This window comes from Homo sapiens, chromosome 7 (genome assembly GCF_000001405.40).
Source record: "Homo sapiens chromosome 7, GRCh38.p14 Primary Assembly".
In the NCBI taxonomy this organism is placed as follows: domain Eukaryota; kingdom Metazoa; phylum Chordata; class Mammalia; order Primates; family Hominidae; genus Homo; species Homo sapiens.
The window spans coordinates 88,791,867-88,816,136 of record NC_000007.14 but is presented as its reverse complement, the minus strand read 5'-3'; the positions used below and the strand labels follow the sequence as shown (position 1 = coordinate 88,816,136).

The 24,270-nt window shown below is 34.9% G+C and overlaps 2 protein-coding genes across 2 annotated transcripts in view; one reads left to right on the top strand and one right to left on the bottom strand.

Moving 5' to 3' along the window:
* The window catches only part of ZNF804B (zinc finger protein 804B), a 578,829-nt gene that overhangs the window by 522,392 nt on the left and 32,167 nt on the right, over positions 1–24,270 (bottom strand). The window lies entirely within an intron of this gene.
* Positions 20,400–22,031, top strand: TEX47 (testis expressed 47). The gene is made up of 2 exons (NM_152706.4): positions 20,400–20,497; positions 21,091–22,031. Exon 2 carries the CDS (start codon positions 21,195–21,197, stop codon positions 21,954–21,956), a length of 762 nt encoding a protein of 253 aa, NP_689919.1. The 5' UTR covers positions 20,400–20,497; positions 21,091–21,194; the 3' UTR covers positions 21,957–22,031.

Here is a 24,270-nt window from a genome sequence, read left to right as displayed (position 1 = left end):
CAGGGTGATGAGGACATTCATGCAAGAGGAAAGCTCAATGAGGGGTGTTAAATTTGAAGTTGGGTGCGGAGGATATCCTGCCAAAAGAGGGAGGAATTGCCTGGTGTGAAATATTTAGAGTCGGAGTAGGATAGCAAGAGCATTCAACAGCAAGAGGCCTGGTACGGGGTGACAGAAACCAAGAAGGGTGGAAAGTGTCCACATTTTGAGAAAGAATGACCAAAATGGGATTCTGGAGCTTGACAAAGGTAAAGAGGGCTATGTGAATGGGTGTCCTAGAGTGTGCTGACAGAGCATGAGCAGGTTAAAAATGGTGACCATGCAGTGGGAGAGGAAGGCAGCTTGGCATGGGAAGACAGAGCCCCAAAAGAGCAGGGAGGTACACATATGCAAAAGAGGAAAGCCGAGTGCGGTGTGTGGGAACCTAAGCAGGCTGAGAAAGTGTTATCCAGTGGGTGGAACTACACAGTGAAAGTGTCAGAAAGGTGTCAGAGCCTGAGAAGGTGAAGGAGGACATTGGGAAGGAGGAGCTACCTTGCATGGGATATCAGAGCATGACCAAGTGGGGAAAGGTGCCCACAAGGGGGAAGGAACAGCAACAATGTGAGATTGGTTACATACAAGGGACATTATATATCATAATAATAATATATATAATATATTCTAATAACATACCTAACATATAGTTATATACATATCCTAATAATAACACAGCCTCACACTAATTTTAACTGGTATTCTAATATGGAAAAAACTTGACTTGAAAAACTGTACTGGGTTTCTGGTATTAAACACAATAAATTGTATTCTATGCCTAGCTTTTGTCCAAGTTATATTTTGTTATACTGAGTTTCTACAGAATCATATGGATAGCATAGATAAGAGATTACAATTAAATAATAAAATAACTTTTAAAATGTTATATATAGAGAATATATAAAAATATATATTTTATATATTTTATTATATATAACATTTAGAATATTCTTTTATTGTAATTTATCTATGCCATACATACATATATGTGAGAATATACATAATACATATATGTATGAACACATATATACATATATGTAAGAATATATACACACACACACACATATATGTATATATAAGAATATATATATTATTTTTAAACCAAGAAATTTGCAGGACAAGATTAATCCTCAGAAATAATTCCACTAAAAGCTCAGGATTATAAACAGGGTACTATTCAAAATTTTTCTTATCTGTCTTCAGTTATAAACTTGACATGTTTGTTTGTGTTTTTTCAAGATGAAAGAAAAGTAAGGGGAAACAAAAGTAAAAAATTCAAATCTTTCTGTAGGAAATGAAGGAGAAGGAAGAAACTTTTATTGGATGTCAGAGTTTACATTAGACACTTAATATTATCAAATTTTGCTCTACACAACAACTTTAGGTAGGCATTGGCATCTATTCCCATTTTTTAAATTAGAAAATTGTCTAAGATTTCATTCATAGCTTAATGTTCCAATTATAATAAAATATAGAGGCCAAATTTAAACCCCAAATTGTCTTTACATGAAATCCATGGTCTTTTCAATGAACTAAGTTGCCTCAACTGAGTCTCATCATAATCTATGAGTATATGAGTAGAAAAAGTGCTATTATCATTAAACTTTCTGTGTGTGTGTGTGTGTGTGTGTGTGTGTGTGTGTGTGTGTGTGTTTGAAGGGAGGTAAGAGACAGTGATTGGTTCATATGGTTCTATGACTAGAAAGATTATACATCAAACCTCAGAATGGAAATAAACTTGCTCTGTAACAGAGTCATGTAAGAATTAAAATAACACATTATTCCAAAGAGTCTACATTCTTTCATGCATTATTCAGTCTGGTTAAATAATAGCCAGATGTACACCTTTTTAAAGCTGTTTGATCTTTGGAAACATGTATAAAAGTATATATACTGTTCTTTTACCAGAAATATGAAAAGTCTTATTCACTTGACAAAATGTTTTCCAGATACAGCATTTACTGACATGATAATTAGCCAATATCCAAGAGCAGAATATATAACATATTAGAGCCAGAAAATAAGTACTATAAATATCAATTCTGCATACATTTCTCTCAAATCAGAATTTTCACACTTCCAGAAGTGTCTTATCTCTGTTTCTTCATGAGTACTATTTAGCCTGATGGTGCATTGGCTATGCATGTCAAGAATTCACTACAAAACCTAGTGAGTGCAAATTCACCATTTTTCTTTAGCATTTAAAACTCCAAGCAATTATGCATGGACTGTTGCTAAGGGTCTTAGAGTAGTTAAGTGTATAACAACTATATAACTAATGTAGCATCTTTAATGGATAAAATACCCTGTAGATAAGAAAATATATAAGTTTATGTGGATCTTAAGAATATTTCCAAATTACATTTCAAAAAGGACGGGTATGACTTGAAAAATTGTCCTAAGTTTCTAGTATTTAACACAATAAACTTCTTTCCTATGTCTAGACTTTATCCAAGATACATTTTGTTATGTTGAATTTCAACAGAATAATATGGATCTCATATATTAGTAGCGAGAAAAGAGTTTATATCAAAAACATGAAGAAATTGATGCCATGTAAAAACAACTACAGTAAGAAACCTTAGTCTACATAAGAAAATATAATAACACTTAAAAATATTTAGCAAACCGCACACAGAGAATTAAACATTTTTTTCTTTTCTTTTTTTTTTTTTTTAGATGGAGTCTCGCTCTTTGGCCCAGGCTGGAGTGCTGTGGCGTGATCTCGGCTCACTGCAAGCTCCGCCTCCCAGGTTCGCCATTCTCCTGCCTCAGCCTCCGGAGTAGCTGGGACTACATGCGCCCGCCACCACGCCTGGCTAATTTTTTGTATTTTTAGTAGAGACAGGGTTTCACCGTGTTAACCAGGATGGTCTCGATCTCATGACCTCATGATCCAACCGCCTAAGCATCCCAAAGTGCTGGTATTATAGGCGTGAGAGAATTAAACATGTTTTTAAAACTCTATATAAGATTTATGGGAAACTATTTTTTAATTTTAAAATTAAAATATAATTGACATTACATGTAATTCACCATTTTTTAATTGTGGTAAAAACCACCTAACATAAAATTTACCATTTTAATTATTTTTAAGTTTACAGTTCAATAGTGTGAGGTACATTCACATCTCCAGAACTTTTTTTTTTTTGCAAAATAGAAATGTTATATCCATTAAACAACTCCCCATTTTCCCCTCTCCTTGGTCCCTAGTAACCACCATTCTACTTTCTGTTTCTAGGAATTTGACTAATTTAGATACCTCATATATGTGGACTCAAACAGTATTTGGTTGTGTGTGTGTGTGACTGGCTTATTTCACTTGGCATGTCTTCCAGGTTCATTCGTGTTGTAGTGTGTGACAGGATTTCCTTCCTTTTTAAGGCTGAATAATATTGTGTATATGTATATATACGTACATACACATGTACATATATATACATACACACACCACATTTTTAAATCAATTCATTCATCAGTGTCCAGTTGTGTTGCTTCCACTTCTTAGCTATTGTGAATAGTGCTGGTATAAACATGGGTGGGCAAATATCTCTTGGAGACCCTACTTTTGATTCTTTTGGCTACATACCTAGAAGTGGGATTGTTGACTCATCTGGTAAATCTATTTTTGTGCTTTGAGGAACCTCCATACAGTTTTCCATGGTGGTTGCACCATTTTACAATCCCATCAACAGTGTACAAGCATTCCAATGTTTCCACATTCTTGTCAACAGTTGTTATTTTCTGTTTTTTTGATAGTAGCCATCGTAATGGATGTTAAGTGCACACTAATTTTTCACATGGGTAATGGACACTATATTACCAGAAATATTAAAGACAAAATTAAATGACTTTTGGACTGGATAAAGGTCAATTTCTTTGGAATGGATGAAGGACAATCTTCCTTGGATTCATAGGGATGGATTATTGGCTGGTGCCTAAGTACTCAACTATTATACCATGAAATCTATATTGGCTGTGTTAAGAAAGGTTGTACCACTCCTACATGATTTTAATTACTCTGGTAGAGGCTACTGTAACAAGAAGCGGAGATTTCCAGTGTATATGAGAATTTATCGACAAAAGATATTACATGGTATATGATCATCAAAAAGTTCTCAATTTTTTTTAAAGTTCTGGGGTACATGTGCAGGGTGTGCAGGTTTGTTACAGAGATAAATGTGTACCATGGTGGTTTGCTGCACCTATCAACTCATCACCTAAGTATTAAGCCCAGCATACATTAGCTATTTTCTTCTGATGCTCTCCCTCCCCTGTCTCACAGGCCCTAGTGTGTGTTATTCCCCTTCCTATGTCTATATGTTCTCATTGTTCAGCTCCTACTTATGAATGAGAGCATACGGCATTTGGTTTTCTGTTCCTGTGTTAGTTTGCTGAGGATAATGGCTTCCAATTCCATTTATGCCCCTGTAAATGACATGATTTCATTCTTTTTTATAGCTGCATAGTACTCCAGGTGTATATGTACCACCTTTTCTTTATCCAATCTATCACTGATGGGCATCTGGGTTGATTCCATATCTTTGATATTGTAAATAGTGCTGCAGTAAACATATATGTGCATGTACCTTTATAATAGAATGTTTTATAGTCCTTTGGGTATATACACAGTAATGGGATTGCTAGGTCAAATGGTATTTATGGTTCTTGGCCTTCCACAATAGCTGAACTAATTTACATGCCCGCCAACAGTGTAAAAGTGTTCGTATCTCTCCGCACCATCTGTTGTTCCTTGACTTTTTAATAATTGTCATTCTGACTGGTGTGAAATTGTATCTCATTGTGGTTTTAATTTTCTCTAAAGATCAGTGATGTTGAGCTTTTTTGCTTGTTTATTGGCTGCAAACCAACAGCCATACAGTTGGTATTTCTGACAACCCCAGTGCAACACTTTGATGTAATGGCAGGATCTTTGCTAGGTTTGGTCAGAGAATTAACATAAGAGCACCTCACACCTTAAACTCAACTGTTTCTGATAACAAAACTAGTATCTATTTAGTCTGTTTTTTAATGTTTTTTTTTTTTAATTCTGAGATGGGCATTCTAATTTTGGTGGGTTTCTCAGTTTATCCTATCAAGGTTTTAACTAAGAAGCAACTCCTGGGCATAAACTGGTTCATCTTTCTGTAGGATAACTTGAAAATATTTGTCAAACTCTTACAAAATACATAATCATTTTGCCACATATTTTACATCTGAAATTACTTAAATTGTAAAATGAATTAGCTAAGATTCAAAGATGTTCATAGACTGTTGCTTATTTTAACAAAAAAGTAGGCAATTTAAAATGCTGAAGATTGGAAGGTTATTTAACAAAGTGCATTTGTACATTGGAATTTATGCAGCCATTAAACATAAAGCTATTGCTTTATTGTTTACGCTTTAATACTTTTTTATGCTTTTTTTTTTTTAAATGTGAGACAGGGTCTCGCCCTGCTGCCCAGGCTAGAGTGCAGTGAAGCAATCACAGCTTACTGAAACTTTAATCTCCCTGGACTCAGGTGATCCTTCCACCTCAGCCTCTCGAGTAGCTGGGACTACAGGTGTGCAGCACCACACCTTGATAATTTTTTTTTTTTTTTGGACTTTTGTAGAGATGAGGTTTTGCCATATTGCCCAGGCTGGTCTCGAACTCCTGGGCTCAGGCAATCCACTTGCCTTGGCCTCCTTAAGTGCTGGATTACAGGCATGAGGCCCTGGGCTCAGCTCTTTTTAATGATTTTTATACACTTTTACATTGTCTTTAAATATATTTTAAAGTACTTTTAGTTCTTATTTTTATTTTACTAATAACAGGAATTCATAACATGTTACTAAGTGGTAAAAGCAAGGTAGAAAACCATAATTATAATACAAGGCAGAAAAAAAAAAGCATGACTGTGTGAGTGAGAGTGTGCAACATTATCAGGGATACCTGTTAACTAAAACTCATTATATTTCAAACTAAACACATCTGTACGCAATTGCAATTACAGAGGAGCATCACGGAACATTGGTAGTGGTTAATTTATCTGGGTTACGAGATACAAGTGAATATCATCTTCTTGTTGGCTATGTTTGTTTTCTAAATGTTCTATAAGAAATGTATATTACCTGTGTCATATAAAACAATAAAGGAGTGGAAACTTGGCATGAATACATGAGAGCAATTTCTCAGGTTGGTCCATCGCTACTTGGCCTTTGGTCTCAGAAAGGTCAGGATGGTTACTGATATTGAAGATGGCCACCTTCCACTGCTAAGAGAAGCAACTGTGCTGAAAGACTGGGAACATTTGGGGCAGGAAGCACTCACTCTTAACTAACTATGTGTGTTGACTTCTATCTCCTCACATTCTCATAAGGGAGAAGACAAATCAATACTGTCAATAAAAAGTGTTTCTGTGTCCTTGAGAGAAGCTGTTATGCATAAAAAAATTCATGGGTTTACTTTGGTTTTAAAGCTTAATATAAATTTGTCAAATTAGCAAATTCAAAACCTGACTTACCCTCAAGTTTTTAAAATCAATTTATAAATTATTAGTCTAGCATATTTTAATAGTATAAGAGGATTTCAATTGATCATTGGCCCAATTTTTAAAAATCCTTCCTTTAAAGACAATTCCTTTAAAATTGCCTGGCTGACAAATCAAATAGCTCAGAAGGAAGGTAGATAGGTAGGTAGGTTGGTAGATAGGTAGGTAGGTTGGTAGATTGGTAAGTAAGTAGGTAGGTAGATAGATAGGTAGATAGATAGATAGATAGATAGATAGATAGATAGATAGATAGATAGATAGATGACAAGCAATAATAGATTCTGTATACATACATAAAATCTTAAATGTTTCAATGTTATATAAAACTTGGTAAGATTTCTATTTAAAATTATAGATCTAAATCACTCAGTTATGCATTTTAAGATGGAATTAAAAAGCTAACCTGTTACTTAGTAAGGCAGATTCTTTCACATTAGAAATCCTTAAAATACCAAGTGTGTACACCTCCTCTTAATACAAAAATATGCTGCCAAATTTAGTTATTTTAGATACTTCTACTATAAATTACAAATCCTCCAGAGTTAAAAGAATTTTATCTAAGAAGGAAATGATATCACTACAAACAGTTTTGAGGTTACCTTCTTAGCCAATTGAAGATCTATATTGATCTGGGATTTCAACCCAGTTGCTGACTATTTTGTCAGTGTGACTAAGGGTCACCTTGAGCCCTATGCATAGTCTATAAAAGGGATTTCATAACTTACCAATGGTTGAGTTCTTAACTCTTATAAGCCACATAGCCTTACCTAATTTTTAAGTTAGGTTAACTTTCATCCTGCTATCAGTACCACTTAACTAAATCTGATATGTTGAGTCATTGCTCCATTCCTTTCTGAATTCTTTTTAGATGCTTTTCCAGGAGGACCAAAATTTCATTGTATTTTACATATTTTTCACAGCTTTTAATCACAATGTCTAATGTCTACTGACAAATATTTGTATATCCACATATATTCTTGAGACATAATGCGAGAGTTAGAAGATGGTTAAATCCCAGTACACTGTTCAATTTAGAGGTGAGGAGATCTCACTTCCTTCTTGCTACTCTACCCTCTACCCTAGACAAGATGATAATATAATACTTACTGACAATGCCTAGGAAAGAAGACCTACTTAAAAAAAAATCCAGACTACTTTCCTGGTTTACTTTTTTTTTTTTTTTTTGAGATGATGTCTCACTCTTGTCCCCCAGGCTGGAGTGCAATGGTGCAATCTCGGCTCACTGCAACCTCCGTCTCCTGGGTTCAAGTGATTCTCCTGCCTCAGCCTCCTGAGTAGCTGGGATTACAGGCGCATGCCACCATGCCTGGCTAATTTTTAGTAGAAGGGTTTTCACCATGTTGGCCAGACGGGTCTCAAACTCCTGACCTCAGGTGATCCGCCCGCCTCAGCCTCCTAAAGTTCTGGGATTACAGGCATGAGCCACCGTGCCTGGCCTGGTTTTCTTTTCAGAAGAGATAAAGTGAGTACATATTTGAATGTAAGCCTGATTGCTGGGCCTTCAATGTGGTGTCATTTGAGGTTCACTGCATCAGAGGCACCATGCTGCTCTTCACCCTATGGCTCACACTAACAGCAACCAGACAGTTTACAATTTAGTGAAGGCTTTTCCACTTCAGTTGTAGGAACTTCTTTGACCAGAGAATTTAATAATGAAGAAGAAAAATTACTGCCTTATATTTAGAATACCTTGTTTATACTTTCCTGAGGGCAGAAAGGTAAAATAGACTTGATTATGCACAAGATTTTACTTTAGATACAATTATTTACTGATTCTCAATCCCAAAATCATGTTGCAAATCTATAAAGCTGTCTATAATCTTACAGAAGAGTTACAGCTTGAGACCTTTTGTATTGTATAGCTCTCACCAACATAGGAGTGCTCTAGTTTTATCTATGGCATGAATAAAAAGACACTGGCACCCAGCACCAGGATTATCATCCACTTACTCAGAAAAAAAAATGATTAATTTAAGATAAATAGATGCTGGCTTCAGACACACTGATTGTATTTCCCAGATATTGCTGCAGCAACATTCTCTCCTCTTAGAGGTTATAAAGTATTCAGAGCGATCATTCTTTTCTACTCACGTAACACAAAGCATTCAAGATTTAATCTAGCTCTTCTGTATGGTGTGGTTGAATTTTATTTGACTTTGCCATCACCCTACCCATACAAAATTCTTCCTCTTTAATTTTATTTTTTATAACATAAACTTATTTTTGTTCTTTTTATTGTTCACCTTTATATCTTATTATTAAAAAAATGCTTAACTATTAAATAGTAAAATTATGCCAATTAAAACTAACTTGAAAGTCAAATAGAAAACAGCAATCACAGCCTGAAACTAATGTTTTAAAAGTTTGCAGAGCATGGCTATGCTTTAGTTTTCCCTTAAAATATTTCATTTTCTCTAAAGATTGGCTTTCTGAAATATAGGTTAAAAGTATAAAGTTATCTTCAGTCAAAAAAGATATGGATTTTTCATTTTTTAAGTCACAAAGAAAACAGTTTTTTGAAGGCAGAGAAGATATACACTAGGCCAGAGACCTGCACTTGAATTCCAATATAATAATATGACCGTGAAGAATTTTCCTTTTTTTAAGAGGCATAGGTCTTGGAGAATGACCTTATAAAAAATGTAAAACTAGCCTGGTTCTCAAATAGATCACTGGAGGCAAATTTCTAACAACAATGAGTCACTGAACACAGGTCACACCATTGGCCTTAACCTCTAGAAACTTATTAAATATCACCTCCCTGGACCCTGTGAGCCTGAGATCTAAAATGGGCCTTCAGTTTGCTCAAGAGGCAAAGCTTAAAAGTATGCTTTCTTTCTACTATGATAATGGCTTATTACTGAAAAGTTTTAAGAACTTTTCTAACAACACACACACATACACACACATACACACACACACACACACACCCCTCAAATGAGATAGGCATTAAATGTGGGTCCATGGTAGATAGATGCATTATTTTGAGAAGCAGATGAGAGATTTAACCCATATAACAATGACTAGGCCAGGCTATTTCTCTACCTTATATTAAGGTAGAGTAAATGCCAGATACGAAAGTTAACTTACACTTGCAACTCTGTTAATGATTAAAACAAAGTTACTCTTCCCAGAAAACCAAACCAAAAAAGTGTGGCCTCTCTTAAATCCAAACTATCCTTAATAAAAATTATAATTAGGAGCAAATATAATCACAGCAACTGCAATCTATACTCAAGTTGTATAGCTAAAAGAGTTGACAATTTTAAGGACTGGGTAATCCAAATAATTTTAATATTTGACTCTGAAACTAATTATATGATTTTGAGAACTTTGCCTTTATAGTTATGCTTTTATTCACCTTGTATGATTAATGTTTAGATTTTTCTGAGTATACCACAACTGAACAGTGGGAGGGATATAGCCAATTTAAAATTTAAAAATTTAAATAGAAAATACATAGAAATAATGATTCCTACTAGCTAAATCAATGGGTTAGAAATAAGGTCCTCATAGTTAGATCAGCCACTATCTTACAAAATGTGGCACTTAAAACTTCCTGAGTTAGGAAAAAAAAAAAAAAGCACAAAGCTATTATCTATATTTCAGCACGCAAGGCACACAGAGCCCAGAACAGCTTTGCCTGGGAACTCTTGGAACACGTACCACTATTGAAATGGTTTCCATGAGGCCAACAGTGGCACATATGTAGTTAAGAGGTACTTGTCATTGAGACAAAGAACTATAATGACAGGTGAGACATGGACCAGAGAGGCATTCATGATGATGATGGAGGACAGGTGCCTATACTTCCCATACCACTGCATTCTTACTCTAGACCCCCAGGAATGTGCTGTCCTTAATGAAGCAGGCACCATCAACACTGTGCTCTACTTCATCACCCTTTTATATTTTCACAAAATTGTCTTCACAAAAAAAGTGATCGTACCTTATGTTCACATATATTAAAACAGTGATACATAAGTCTCTCAATTGTCCACAACTGCTAGTGTTAGTAGGTACAGTTTCCAAAGAAATGTGGAGGTACCTTGAGTTAAAATGGACAAAGGGCTTTAAATTTAATAGATGCTGGGAAGGTTTCAGGATAATAAAGGCTTGTTGGATAAATTAAAGGCAATCTGCTTAGGCATCTAGCACATAGCTAATATTTAAAAATATTTTATTATGTTGTTTTTACTATACTGCTACTCTAGTTACATGGAATAAAAACAATATGTTATTTAGACTTGGATTAATATTGCTGTTACTTTAAAAAGAAATACATTTTAAAGTTCTAAATTCTAGCCTAGACCCTCATTGCATATTTGGAATACAATAATGTTTTAGTAGGGCATACCTGACTATAAAATTTCTGTCTTCCCAAAACTAGTCACCATTAAATGTGTAACTCATCATATAACTTTACTGCTTAAAACATTTAATGGTTCTCAATATTAAGTGTCATAAAATTCAGATTCCTACAACTTCTTTCAGAATAGCTCTAACACCACTTTATCCACTGAAACTTTTATAATATATTAAAAAATACTCTAGTGTGAAATATTATCTCCCTGTTTTAGTATTTCATGAGTACACATTTTTCGGCAACTTTACAAGTAAGCAACTTGAAATCAGTAATATCTATCTCTTTTTGCCATGGTTTTCTTAATTGCAAACGGAGTATGTTATGTCAGGGGTACCAAGTTCCCCTCCAGCTCTAAACTTCTACTAGTCAAATTTTCTCCATTCCATGTGACAATTGTTCAAAGCTGAACCAAAAGGAAGCACTAAAATAGATATTAGCTTATCGATAACACATTTTAGCATAATAGGTTATATGGGCCTGAGTAATGAAATTGTGAAGATATTACTCCAATCATAATAAAATTTGTATGTGTAAAGCAACTTTGCTATTACACAAAGATTTTAAGTCATAAAAAAATAAATTCAAATTTGTGTTTATGTCACCTCATCATAATGTGCACTGTGTGTTAGTTAAGTCATAAAGCTTTAGTGTTCTGTCCTGCAAAGAAGCTGAAAAAAAACTGATTAAAAGAAGATAAAAGAAACATAACTGAGAGTTTAGTGTTATATGTAGTCTCCAAATCTCTGTATAGAAGCTGACAATCTTAAGGTATTTTCGAAGCATACCATACAGTATTCCATTTTCAGATTCCACCTTCCTGGCTGGACACAATGATAGAAAAGACAAAAAGAAACCCAGCATGCTAGTTTTTAATAGGTAAAAACCTAGGATTACTATACAACTATTAATCTACTATCTTCCTCCTCTATAGTTTACTATCAGAGTGCTTTCATTCTTCTTACTGACAAATGTGGAGGAGTGGTCGACCCTCTGACCACTTATTCTCCTTTGATCCACTCAATGCTTGCAACCTGGCTTTGCTCAACTATTTTACCAGATCTATTTTTCTTTAAATCCCTAGTAAACGTAATTGCCAATATTAAATGGTCACCCCAGTCCTTAGGCTTTTTTATTTTTGTTTAGAATTTTACCTCAACCACCAACTTTTAAACGTTTCTCCTGCAGTGACCTTCATAAGCCTGTGTTTTCTTAATTCTCTGCCTATTTCTGATTTGTTGTTGCCTCTTTCACTGCCTCTTATTTGCCTACTCCCTAAAACTGGATGTTCCATAATGTGCTCCTCCACCTTCTTCTTTCCTTTCACTATCTCATGACTTCATTGTTTCCCATGGTTTCAGTTCTACCCTCAATGCAGACAACTACCAAATTTTCATCATAAGTCCAGACTTCCTCAGATCTTCAGATTCACAGTTACATATATACCTGGATATTTCCATGGCCACTCCACTTCAAGATAATCTACACAAACTATTTTTCTTCCCAAATCTGGGCATCCTCCTGTATCTTCCATCTTTATTTAAAGAAAAAATGTTAGTCCTCCCAGTAACTGATATTCAAACCTTCAGTGTCATCTCTAAATCCTTGCATTCCTAACCTCCCATATCCAGTGAATCAGGTCTTGTCTACCTTGGTGATGGCTTGCACATTTTCAGTCTTAGCAACTGCTTTAGTTCAGACTGTATCCAACTGGTGCAAATTCTTTAAAGACTCACCTTTTACTCAGTAGTATGCAAGGTGTCTGGACTAAAATTCCTGGACTGTTTCTTAGTAATTTCCCTATCTTATACCCTTATATTTTCCTATCTTGACTCCTAGTTGGTAGGTACAGATTTCCCAGAGTGAAGCTTCTCTTTGTTCAATTTGGTTCATGATCCATCATTCTACAAGTTCTACTCAATAGCAGGCTCTCAGGCTAGACTATCCTAGACTTACAAACAAAGCAACACATGTATCATCATTCACCAAACCATTGCAATAGCCTTATTTTTTAACGTTTTTTTTTCTGAACATAATAACATAGACACACTTGAAAAAATTGGAAAATACAAAACAAATATCCGTCCGAAATTCTACCAGTTAAAACATGGCTAGATTTCTCTCTATTCTTGTTTCTGTGACTTTTTAAAAATAAGGTTGGGAATCCAATTTAAACTTAAAATGTTTTTCAAAAAAACATTTTAAAATTATGCACAGTTGCAGACTGGAAAACTTAAGGGGGTGCCTTATAGTATCAATGTTAGGAGTTTTATTTAGTGCATTTAACGTAACTGGCAATTGCAAAATCCACTTTGCCTGCATATGTGAAAAATATAGACGGTTATCTTGTTTGCTCTATGAAATTCTGCACTTGATATTCAGTATATACTCCACCTTCATTAATTTCTTCTGCCACAATGTTCTGCCTTAGCACTCAGTTGCATTCTTTCCCTTTTTTTTTTTCCTGTTCATTATGGTTTAAATCTGAGAACCACATGAGGGTAGAATATATTATCTTTAAAAAAATTACGAAAAATTATATAGGCAAATTATTTTCTTAAATTTGATGGACAAATGTCAAAATGTTATTTTTCATATCATTTATAATCTTGTCCCAATCCACTTAACAAAGTTCGGTTAGATCTCAGAGAAAATTACATTCCAGAGTAGTTTTTTTTCTTTTCCCTGAGATAGGGGGAAACTTTACTACAATTAGTAAGTGTGGTACAGAATTTCATGCAAATGAGGTGTGCCAGCAGTGTGACAATTTTAACGTATTTTAACAAAAACAAAAATGAATGCATAAACTTGCTGCTGCTTAGACCACTGTAGCTTCTAGGACCCAGTTTCTTTTACTGATTTAAAAACAAAACAGAAAAAAGTTGTGCCTGAAGAAAGATATTACTAGTTCACTTTCGCACTGTTATAAAGATACTACCTGAGACTGGGCAATTTATAAACAAAAGATGTTTAATTGACTCACAGTTTCGCATGATTGAGGAGGTCTCAGGAAACTTGCAGTCATGGCAGAAGGTGAAGCAGAACAAGGAGCTTCTTCACTTGAGGCGGGAGGGAGCGAGCACAGGAGATACCGCCATTTTTAAAGCCATCAGATTTCCTGAGAATTCCCTCGCTATCACCAGAGCAGCATGAGGGAAACTGCCCCAAGATCCAATCACCTCCCACCAGATCCCTCCCTCAACACATGGAGATTACAATTCGAAATGAGATTTGGGTGGGGCCACACAGCCAAACCATATCAGATCCAAATTTTATTTTTAAATATCTATAATTTTTCATATTATGCTATTCGTTTCAGTGAATAACTATTTTTCCTCCCTTGAAATATTCTTCAAAATTAATTTCAAGGGCATCATAGTAGTTGTTCATTAATACATATATTCATTTTTTCAAAGTTCTTTTTTTCTATAAAAACTGTCTTTATATTTCAAATGTTTGTCAGTAATTTTGTTTCTTTTTTAAAATTTTTTCTTCACTTAGCTTCAACGTGAAACTCATAATTTTATTTACTTACCATGGGATCTAGAAGAGGCATTACTTAGTCAAAGAGTAGATTTTTAAGCTTATGATTTACATTTGCAAATTGGTTTTCAGCAAAGTTGAAACAATTTACTGTTAAGCTGGCAGAAGATAAGAGGGATCACTTGCCAACTGCAGAGTTCTTAAAAGGGCTCTGGGTGCCTCTAGTATTTCCCATCTCCAATTCCTCTGCACTTCAGGGCAACTTCCTAAACAGTTATAATTACAGGCACTCAGGAAATTCTCATGATTCTCTATTATCCACGGAGTAAAATTCAAACTTCTGAGCGTGGCATAGAAGTCCTCCACAAACTGCTTCCAAGTTACTTTTTTTTTTTTTCCCCTCTCCTCCCACCACTCACCTTCTAGCAGTTCTGCTCCAGGCTACATTTAAAATCACCTGGAGAGGTTTTAACAAACTACACACCAGGGTTCCATTCCTGGTGGAATTCCTAATTAAGTAAGACTGGGAACTGGCTTTTGGGGTGCTGGGTGGGCGCACTAGAATCTTGCAAATCACCACTAAAGAACTTACTCATGTAACCAAATACCACCTGTTCCCCAAAAACCTATGGAAATAAAATAAAATAAAATAAAAAATTCTCCACTAGATTATTCTAATAGACAGTCAGGGTTTGAATCACTGTGAGTTAGCCTCTTCTTTCTTAAAGTGAGGTATGTAGAGAGACTGGGAGATTACTTGTCAAAAATGCAAATTCTTGGGTCTCACTTTAAGCCTACTAACTTAGACATTTTTGGCCTAGAGACCAGGAATCTTCAGTTTAACAAATTTGCAGATTCTGTGGTTTGAGGACTAGTGCTTTAGCCAGAACAGATTGTTTCCATTTTCTTAATGGTGTGCCACACTTCCTATCTTTAACATATGCCCTCTGCTGTTTATGCTTTAAGCACACACACACACACACACACACACACACACACACACACACAAATCATATCTATTTTTTAATTCCCAGCTTAAATGCTCATTCTTCCAGCCAAATTTAAATGTTTCCAAATTTTGTGCTTTCATTGTTCATTGTTTATATCTTAGCACTCTTGTATACGCCCATCCAGCCCTGTACTAAACATAGTCATGGGGATCTTAAGATCTACTAACAGAATTAAATTTTTCATGTGCAGATAAAATATCTGATTCACAAGAATATTTCCATAGAGCCTGGCACATTTTTCTACAAATAGTAAATAGATGAAAACTATGTGAAATGTTGTAATCAATTAACTAAATGTTCCTAGCCTGCGCTCTCCTTGATAAGTAATTACCAAACACTGTTCCGTAATACTATTGGTGAAGAGAGTCAATGCCAGAGAAAGTAATGTAGTTTGTTTTTTTTTCTTGGAGGGGGAATGTCTTTTTCAATAAATGTTCAAATACCTAGTGATTTGATAACTAAGCTCACTCAGATTTGCTATGCTAAATCAAATATATTTTTTGTCTACTCAATAGCTTATTATATGTGCTCTTAGTGAAAGGCTGTACCCAAGTTGTAAGCCATTTATTTAGATGATTAGTTCTCTTTGGCTGATCATTTTGATATAAGACATAAAGTGAAAGGAAATGATTTAGAGTGTTTTGTTTCGCTAGGACCTGAGCACAGGTGAGAGTTTAAAGCCTGGTATTCCAGATGGAAATCAAGTTTAGTAAGTGCACAACCTCACATTTTAAAGGAATGTATGTGAGACCAATTCATGAGGCTGTCCTTCAATCCTGTTTCTCTGAAGGCCACGCTCAAATGAGAACTCTTTCACTAACGTTTCTAAGAAAACTCCAGAGTTACCCTTTCTAAATTGGTGTTTCTAAAGCACTAAACATCATTTGCATGATATTTATTGTTTTTCCCTGCTCTGTCTCAAGAACATCTCAGATTCATGTACATTTCATCACCTGTACCTGACTCTAAGCTCCTGAAATCTGGACTCTAAGCTCCAGACTTACATTTCTTATAGTGCCTAATGATATCACCTGGCACACCAAAGGCGTCAATAAATCTGAGACAAATGAGTAGATAATAACAGTAGATAAATGTTGCTGAAACCTAGGTATAATGTAGAAGTTTTTCTTTAAATTTACTTTATCCAAACCATAAGGTATCCTTTGGTTCCAGAGGAATCATCTCATAGACAGGGGGAAGAATGACACTATGGTCATGGATAGAAATAGGAGATAATTTACCTCCTCTTTACCCAGGTAGACAGAATATGGAGGCTGCTGAGAGAAGATTTTAATTGTGTGCAAAATACTTAACTACTCTAAATTTTGGTTTCCTCCCATATAAACTGTAGAAAAGATTCTATCTATCATATAGGGTTACTGTTAAAAGTAGCTTAGTTACTGTATGTAAAAGTATCTAGTGCATGGCACATGGTAAATAATAAATGGTATTTAATTGTTTTAATCCTTTCTGTCTGGCTTACAAAAACAAAAAGGACATGATAAATTTGTTATTCAGGAGCATTTGGTTCTGAAAAAGGAAACCAGGGCATAAGTATATCAGTAATAGTAAGGTGTACTCTTTGACACGAGTTACAAGTATATGCTATGTATTAACATCAGATAAGTTGAATTAAAAAGGTAGATAAGTAGAATAATTGAAAGAAGACTTGGCATCCTAAGCTTCTATTAAGGTTCTGTGACTTATCAGTTGTTTGAACTTGAACTTGGATAGCTATTCTAAACAGATCACTCTGGGTAGAATAACACAAATGCTTCTTTATCCAGATACGTAGACAGACAGATAGAAGAGTTCTCTTGAGTCACCATCTGAAGGTAAATAACTTGCCCTTAATAGATGGCACATAAGGATTGTGGCACCTGGGCACTTAAAGCTGAATGTCCATTGAGCAGAGAGTGTACAATTCTAATTACACAAGACAATGAATCAAAAACTGTCTGAATTGCATGTTGCTTCTATTTCTATCTAGTCAGAACTTACTCTTGACAGTTCAGAGTGTGATTGATGAATGATAAGAAAACAAGTTGCCTTTAAACCTTTCAGATAGCCATGTGACAATGAAGCTAAAATTTTTAGGAAGCAACCCAATAGCAAAAAAATAATTTGAAAATGGAAAATTACATTGGGAAAATGGAATAAAGATGTCAAACCATCCATGGAGATTAAAAACTATTGCTTCTGAATGTATTAGTTTGAACCATGCAACATTGTCTCTACTTGCCTTTTTTGACTTACAGAAATGATAGTTCATATGTTTTTCAAGATAACAACAATTAGGCTTTGTTAAGATATTATCACTCTTTTGAAGAAAGGAGAGCTTAGTTGATTTTCTATAGAGTTTATATGTTTATCATGATGAAATATCATTCTTCTATTAGGTTTATATTGGAGGAATCTAGATATATGAAATAAAAGGAAAACAAAAAGCACACATGGTGAGAAAAGATGACCACTAAGCTTCTTTTGATAGGAGTAAAAGGTAGAAAGACACATGTGATTATCAGAGAGATATTGTGTTGGAAGTATTGATCAGAGTGGGGAGCTATGATTTAGAAGAAGGGGGAAGCCATCAAGGTTCTGATACCCATGGAAATAGAACTCTTAAAAAAGAGATTTGGAAAAAGCAGTGCACAAAAACTAGACCTGGAGGAGAATGAGCAAAGCCAGAAGATAAAACAAGCAGAACTATGAAATAGTTTTTATTATTTATTCTGAGATTCAGGGAATCCAAGAAGATAGTGGGAAACTGACAAGGTGAGTTAACAATCTTGTTCAAAACTTGATAGTACATCACTCTCATTTGCTGTGGCAATTCTTTATATTTTGAGAACATAATTATAATAAAAATATGTAAATGAAGTCAACAGAAAGTTGAGGTGGAACAGTACATCCTGGGGTTAGCCTTATCTTGAGGGATAGTTCTCAGCCATGTTAGGGAAGAAATTGGGCTGTCAGTAAGGAACAGTTTCATGAAGAGGAAGAATCTCACCTGTGTATAAAAGACTAGTTTGAGTTTGTGCACTGAAAAGGGGCTCCTGGGTAGCAGTACCTCATAAATTCTCCTACTGACTTTGATCAGTAGCTGTGTTAGGTAACAAATCACACCATTGCCTGTCCCCATGTTCTCTCTGGTTTAATCCATGACTGGAAATTGGAAATAAATACCAGAAGTCACTCTGGATGTGGTGAAGGCAGAGGCTTTGCCTCCCAGCATTCTATGGAGGGAAAGAAAGCAGGGAGGACTTTGTAAAATGAGAATCTTTTTAACTTTATAAAGTAGATGTATCAAAGGGCTTATGGTTTCACACTCTTAGCTGAATTTGTGGGGTGGAGAAATCTAGAAATACTGTGGGTAGAGACCCTTATTATAATCCAAATAAAGAAGTAGGACTATGAAAGAGGTAGTGTAAATCAAGAACCCTTAAGGCATATTAAAGTGAGTAAAAAGACTTAGTAAAAAGAATAGAGTTGGAGTATATAACTTGGATGAAACATGAACAAATAATACCAAGGATTTTGGCCTGGGAACTGAGAGGAAAAAACATGTTAATTTAGACACAAGTGGGGTATTTGTAAAGGGAAACATGTTTAATAAGGAAAATAATTGTTTAAATGTTTTCATTTTAAATTTGAAAAGACAGAGTTACATCCAAGGAGAGAAGAGTTGTGAATAAGTGACTGGAGATAATAATTTGAGAATTTTCTGTGCAAAAATAATCTAGAATGGGAGCTCAGTTTTTTCTTCTTTCTCAACCCCAATTAACTAGTTGTGTCTACCTTGAGACTCAGATTGAAAAATATTTTTAGTCCACAGGTAAGCTCAGAAGGAAAGCCCCATGATCAATTTCCAATTTCAAACGTGCAATCTAGTGGCAAGAGTGGCTTTAAGGACCACTTACCTGCCCTCACAAAAGAGACATATAGATGGTGCTGAGCTAACTGGGCAAAGAAGTAGAGCGAGAGATCCAACCACATCATGAGCGCAGAGCCTAAGTATTTTCCAGAGTTGGATGTGAGAAGGTATTGCCGGGCAAGGCCTCATACAGAGATTTAGAAAGAAATCCAAGAAAGTGCAGTATCATAGAAACCAGGAGAGGAGAGAAGGCCATAATGAAGGCTCTGGTCAACATGGACACTTTCTTCCAACAAAGCTGTAAGAAGAATGAGAGTGAGATAATAACTAGACTGGGCAATGACATGGTTTGGCACCATGGTTTACATCTTCGGAAAGATTGTATTGCTTCAGGGAGTGATAAAGTGAATCACAATGAGGAAGAATAGTCCATTTTTATGTATTACACAATTAATTAATTATTAAGTCACCTCTCTGCCTTCATTTACTTGGATAATTTATCATTGTATTATCATTAAAATTAGATCATTAGTTTGGATAATACAGAACTCAGGGAAAAAATTATTCTTAGGTTTCATTGTTAAAAATTGAATAAACGTTTTTTAAACTTGTTTTAAAATTACTGTTTAGAACTCATGTGGATGCAATTTTAAGAGATGCATCTCTTAAGACACAATTTTAAGAGGTGCATCTCTTAAAATCACATTAAGTTAAGTAAGCCAAATCTTACTATAGAACTTTCTCATCATATATTCACCATTAGATAGATTCAGATATGTGTTCCTGAAGTCTTTAGTTAGTGTCTAAGTAGAACAGAGGAGTTCTACAACCATACTTTTTATTTATCAAACGGAAAAAAAGAAAGGAAAAAGATGTCCAGATTCTCACCATCTGTCTGACTTACAAATGCACCTGACTAAAAATAAACCATTCAGGAATAAGCCATTCACACTTCCTCTGCAGTGACTTTGAAGTGTTTGTCGAGATACCCGTATTAAGAAACTTGGCGCTCTGGTCCTTTAATGGTGCTGACATTCTGACTCACGTATGCCCGAGGGAAGGCAGAACACAGGACAGCTGAGAACACCAGAGGACTGGCAGTTGGGAGCCTGATGGAGGACAAGTAGGGCCTCGAGGACAGGTGCGTGACAGAAGCACAGGAAAAAAAAGAAAAATGGTAAGTTGACCTGGAAAAAAAAATTGAGGAGATTTGTAAGCAGAGTAAGTTAAAGTAGCAGAATACTTTCATGTAGCCCTTACAACAACAAAAACAACAAGAAAACAAATAAAGGGGGGAGAAATGAATCATTTCTGAGATTCGTCGATAGGAGAAAAAACAAAGAACCAAAACTTTTCCCTTGAAATGTTTACTGTTATTATTCAAGGAACATTATTAACTATTAGTGACATGACTAAAGGTTACATAAGCTAATTAGGACTTAAAAAGCCTTGGATTTTTTTTTAAAAGTTATAGATCAGTTAGATTTGTAAAAGAAACTGGAAGAATTACCATAAAATACCATTTTTAAAAAATTTGGCTTATAAAGGACAATCTGTAATCACCATTACATGACATTTACAAAGTTTTTTCCTAGGATATTATTTAACTCTTTCGTTGTAAACTTTTAAAAAAGTCTATAGTTTGAGTATTGTTTTAACATTGTCTTTCATTTCAAATACATTGTTTCCTGATAAAACTGGCAAAAGATTGGGATTTTACTATTTAGTAACATTTGACAAACCGTGATTTACTCTTTTTTTTTTTGTCAGAAGAAATAAAAACACGAGTTCATCAGTAAAGAGGTACCCTGGCAGCATAAATATTATGATAAGCTAAAAGCTGGAATCATCTGGAAAAATAAATAAGACTCCTCATGTCCTTTTCGGTCCATAACCAGAAGGGCAGCAAAAGGCCTTTGCCACTGGAACCTCTTCTTTTTCTCCAAGTCCCACGTAGCAATTACCTGCACTTTCAAGAAGAGAAACAACGACTACACCTAAAGAAATTCCTTCTTGATAGGATGTTTCTAGTGGCCAAGATACAAGCAAATGTAGAAAGAAAAGATGTTGCTGACTACTATGAACAAATGTTTCAGTCAGTTTTGAAACATCACCTAGGAGAAGCAGTGACAGGATTGCTGCTCATCTATCCCACTTCCATTCTGCATATCCTCGAGTCCTCCAGCGACACTCTCTACAAAGTTCTTTTAGATTATATTGGCCATGTCAAAGATGAAACAGTATTTTTTATTCAACAAATGAAAATTATAGTCATTTCTCATAACATTCCAATGAGGCTTTTTATGCAATGGCATGTTTCAGTGATAAAAGTTCCAGTTATGTATCTCGACGATGTGACACAGTCACAGTCCCTAAAGGAGGTCATCACAGATTTTCTCACACAAACTCATAAACTGTCACTCTACCTTTGCCAGACTATGAAAGTAGGCACTAAAGGACCAGGCGATAACTTACACCAAGTTGCACCTGACCTACTCCTCCCAGAACAAATCATAAAGTACTTGTGCAAATCCGAAGAATTCATGGACCCGGCAACATTTATAAACATGTATAATAGACCCATACACATCACTCTGGATTCTGAGGTGGTATGGCCTGCTCCTTCACGTTTCTAGGATTGAGAGGGATAATGTGCCCATGTCTCTTAAGGAGTTTGTGCTACTTAAATAAAAAAAACATTTTTAAAGTTACTGGTGTCTTTTAAAAGAAACAGAACATTGCAATATACACAGAGGTAATATATTAATCTTTATAGAGTATGTTGAGCTAAACTTTAAAATGTATCTATTTGTTGTGGTATTAAGTTCAATACATTATTTTACTAGGTAGATGGGTTTAATAAGTTTATCATAAGCTCTCAAATATTAACATCATTTTCATGAATTGACACTTTTCAAAAAAAAGTATGGCTGAAAAAAGACAAACGGAATTCAGATTATCATCCAATCCCTCAAGAGTTAATAAACAGTCACTACTACATAGCAGAAGTATAGTGTTCTGAGGGTACAAAATCGAGAAGAAAAATCCCACCCTTGAGTTGCTTGCAACCTCAGGTTAGAGGCAAGTACATGTAGAAGTAGTTACGATATGACATATAATGTAATATAATATATCATTATAGTAGCAGTATATAGGAAGGGCTTTGAGAGCACAAGTAAAGGAATAATCACTGTATAATTCCTGCATTCAGAAAACAAAATCTAATTATTGAAAATATTTCCAAAGCCCACATATTCTGGCCTATATAATCAAGAATATTGAGACCATTATAAAGCTACAGAAAACAATAGCTATTCGGAATGAAATGAAAATACATTATCAGGTGGCATTGTGCTACTCCATGCAACATCATTTATTGAACATCCCTCTATGTTACAAACATTTGCCAGGCACTGAGGAATATGGCAGGGTACACAGAAAACATTATCTGCCCACTATTAACACTTACTTCTAAATGATTTTATGTAAAATAAACAATCTGGTTATTTTCTCAATTCACTTTCTAGAAAGCAACTAATTATATATAATTTCTATGTGACCAATTTCAAGTTGATCCCTTCTTTTATCCAGATGAATATTTTTTGCATTGTTTAAAAGTTTTTAGCTTGTTTAAACAATTAATTGACATCAATATTTTGAAAACTGCAATGATATTTGTCCCAAATCACCTTAACATCTTACGAAACCAACTTTGGAGTTAATGGAGAAAATACTTATCATTATAGTTTTATTTTTTATTATTTTTTTTTCATTTTTAGCTTCTTTGAGGACAAACCAATCTCAGTGTGCACCTCAATTTTTCATTTGAAGAAAATTTTGTTCTGCATATGAAAATACTGACCAAATTGTATGTAACAAACAAAATGTATATAATAAACAAAAATGATATGCATCATTGTTACATAACAGAATCAAATTTTAGGGAAGACCATTCTATTTTCCAAATTTTGTAATACTTCATTAATTAGAATGGTATTTTTCAGTTTTAACTGAAGTTTCTTTCAAGTTAGTAACAGAAAAAAATGTTTAAGATAAAATGAGAATTCTTCTAGCTAAGAAAGAGTATATAACTTTCAAAATTTATATCAATTTAGAAAAAAACACCTAATATTAAACAGCATTATGCTGTCTATTCTTTGAACTGTGAAAAAGACACAGGGGCATGTCAATAGTAAATGATTAGTGATAAACTGACTGGAAACGTAAGTAAATATTTTCCCAGCAAAAAAGGAATAGAGAAAACGTTCAACAAAGATACAATCCTTGGTCCAGGATTAGCATGAATGTGAAAGTGGTTTGGGAGAGAAGACGAGCATATGTAAGAGAATAATGGATAATAAATGTTTATTGGATCAGATAGAATTCCTTTAGCAGGGTGAATTTTGTTTGGGAATATTATTTTCTAAAGTTATCTAGTGAATAGAAGTTTGAATTTTGGATAAAAATTATATATTTATAAATCAGAAAATATGGCATATTGTATTTTCCAGAAATGGTTACTGCAATATATCCAATCCCACATGCCTTTCTTACAACATGAGCTTGATATTCCTCCCATTGTGTAGTGGCTTCTAACTCTCTCCCCTTGAATGCAGGCAGACCTCTTCTGTGACTGCCTTAACCGATAAAATACAAAAGAAGTTATTCCGTGTGATCTCGAAGGCTAGGTCATAAAAATGTGCACTTTGCCTTGCTCACTTGAATGCTAGCTCCTGGAATTCAAACACTATGCTGTGAGCAATCCAGCAATTTCAGACAACATCCCCAGCTAAGGTCGCAGCCAACAGCCCCTATCATCCACTAGACATGTGAGTGAGTGAGACTTCAGGTGACCCCAGACCCCAGGCTTCCAGTAAACCTGGGAAGCCAGCTCAGTTGACATTGTGTGGAGAAGAAATGAGCTGTTTCCACTGAGTCCTGCCCAAATCA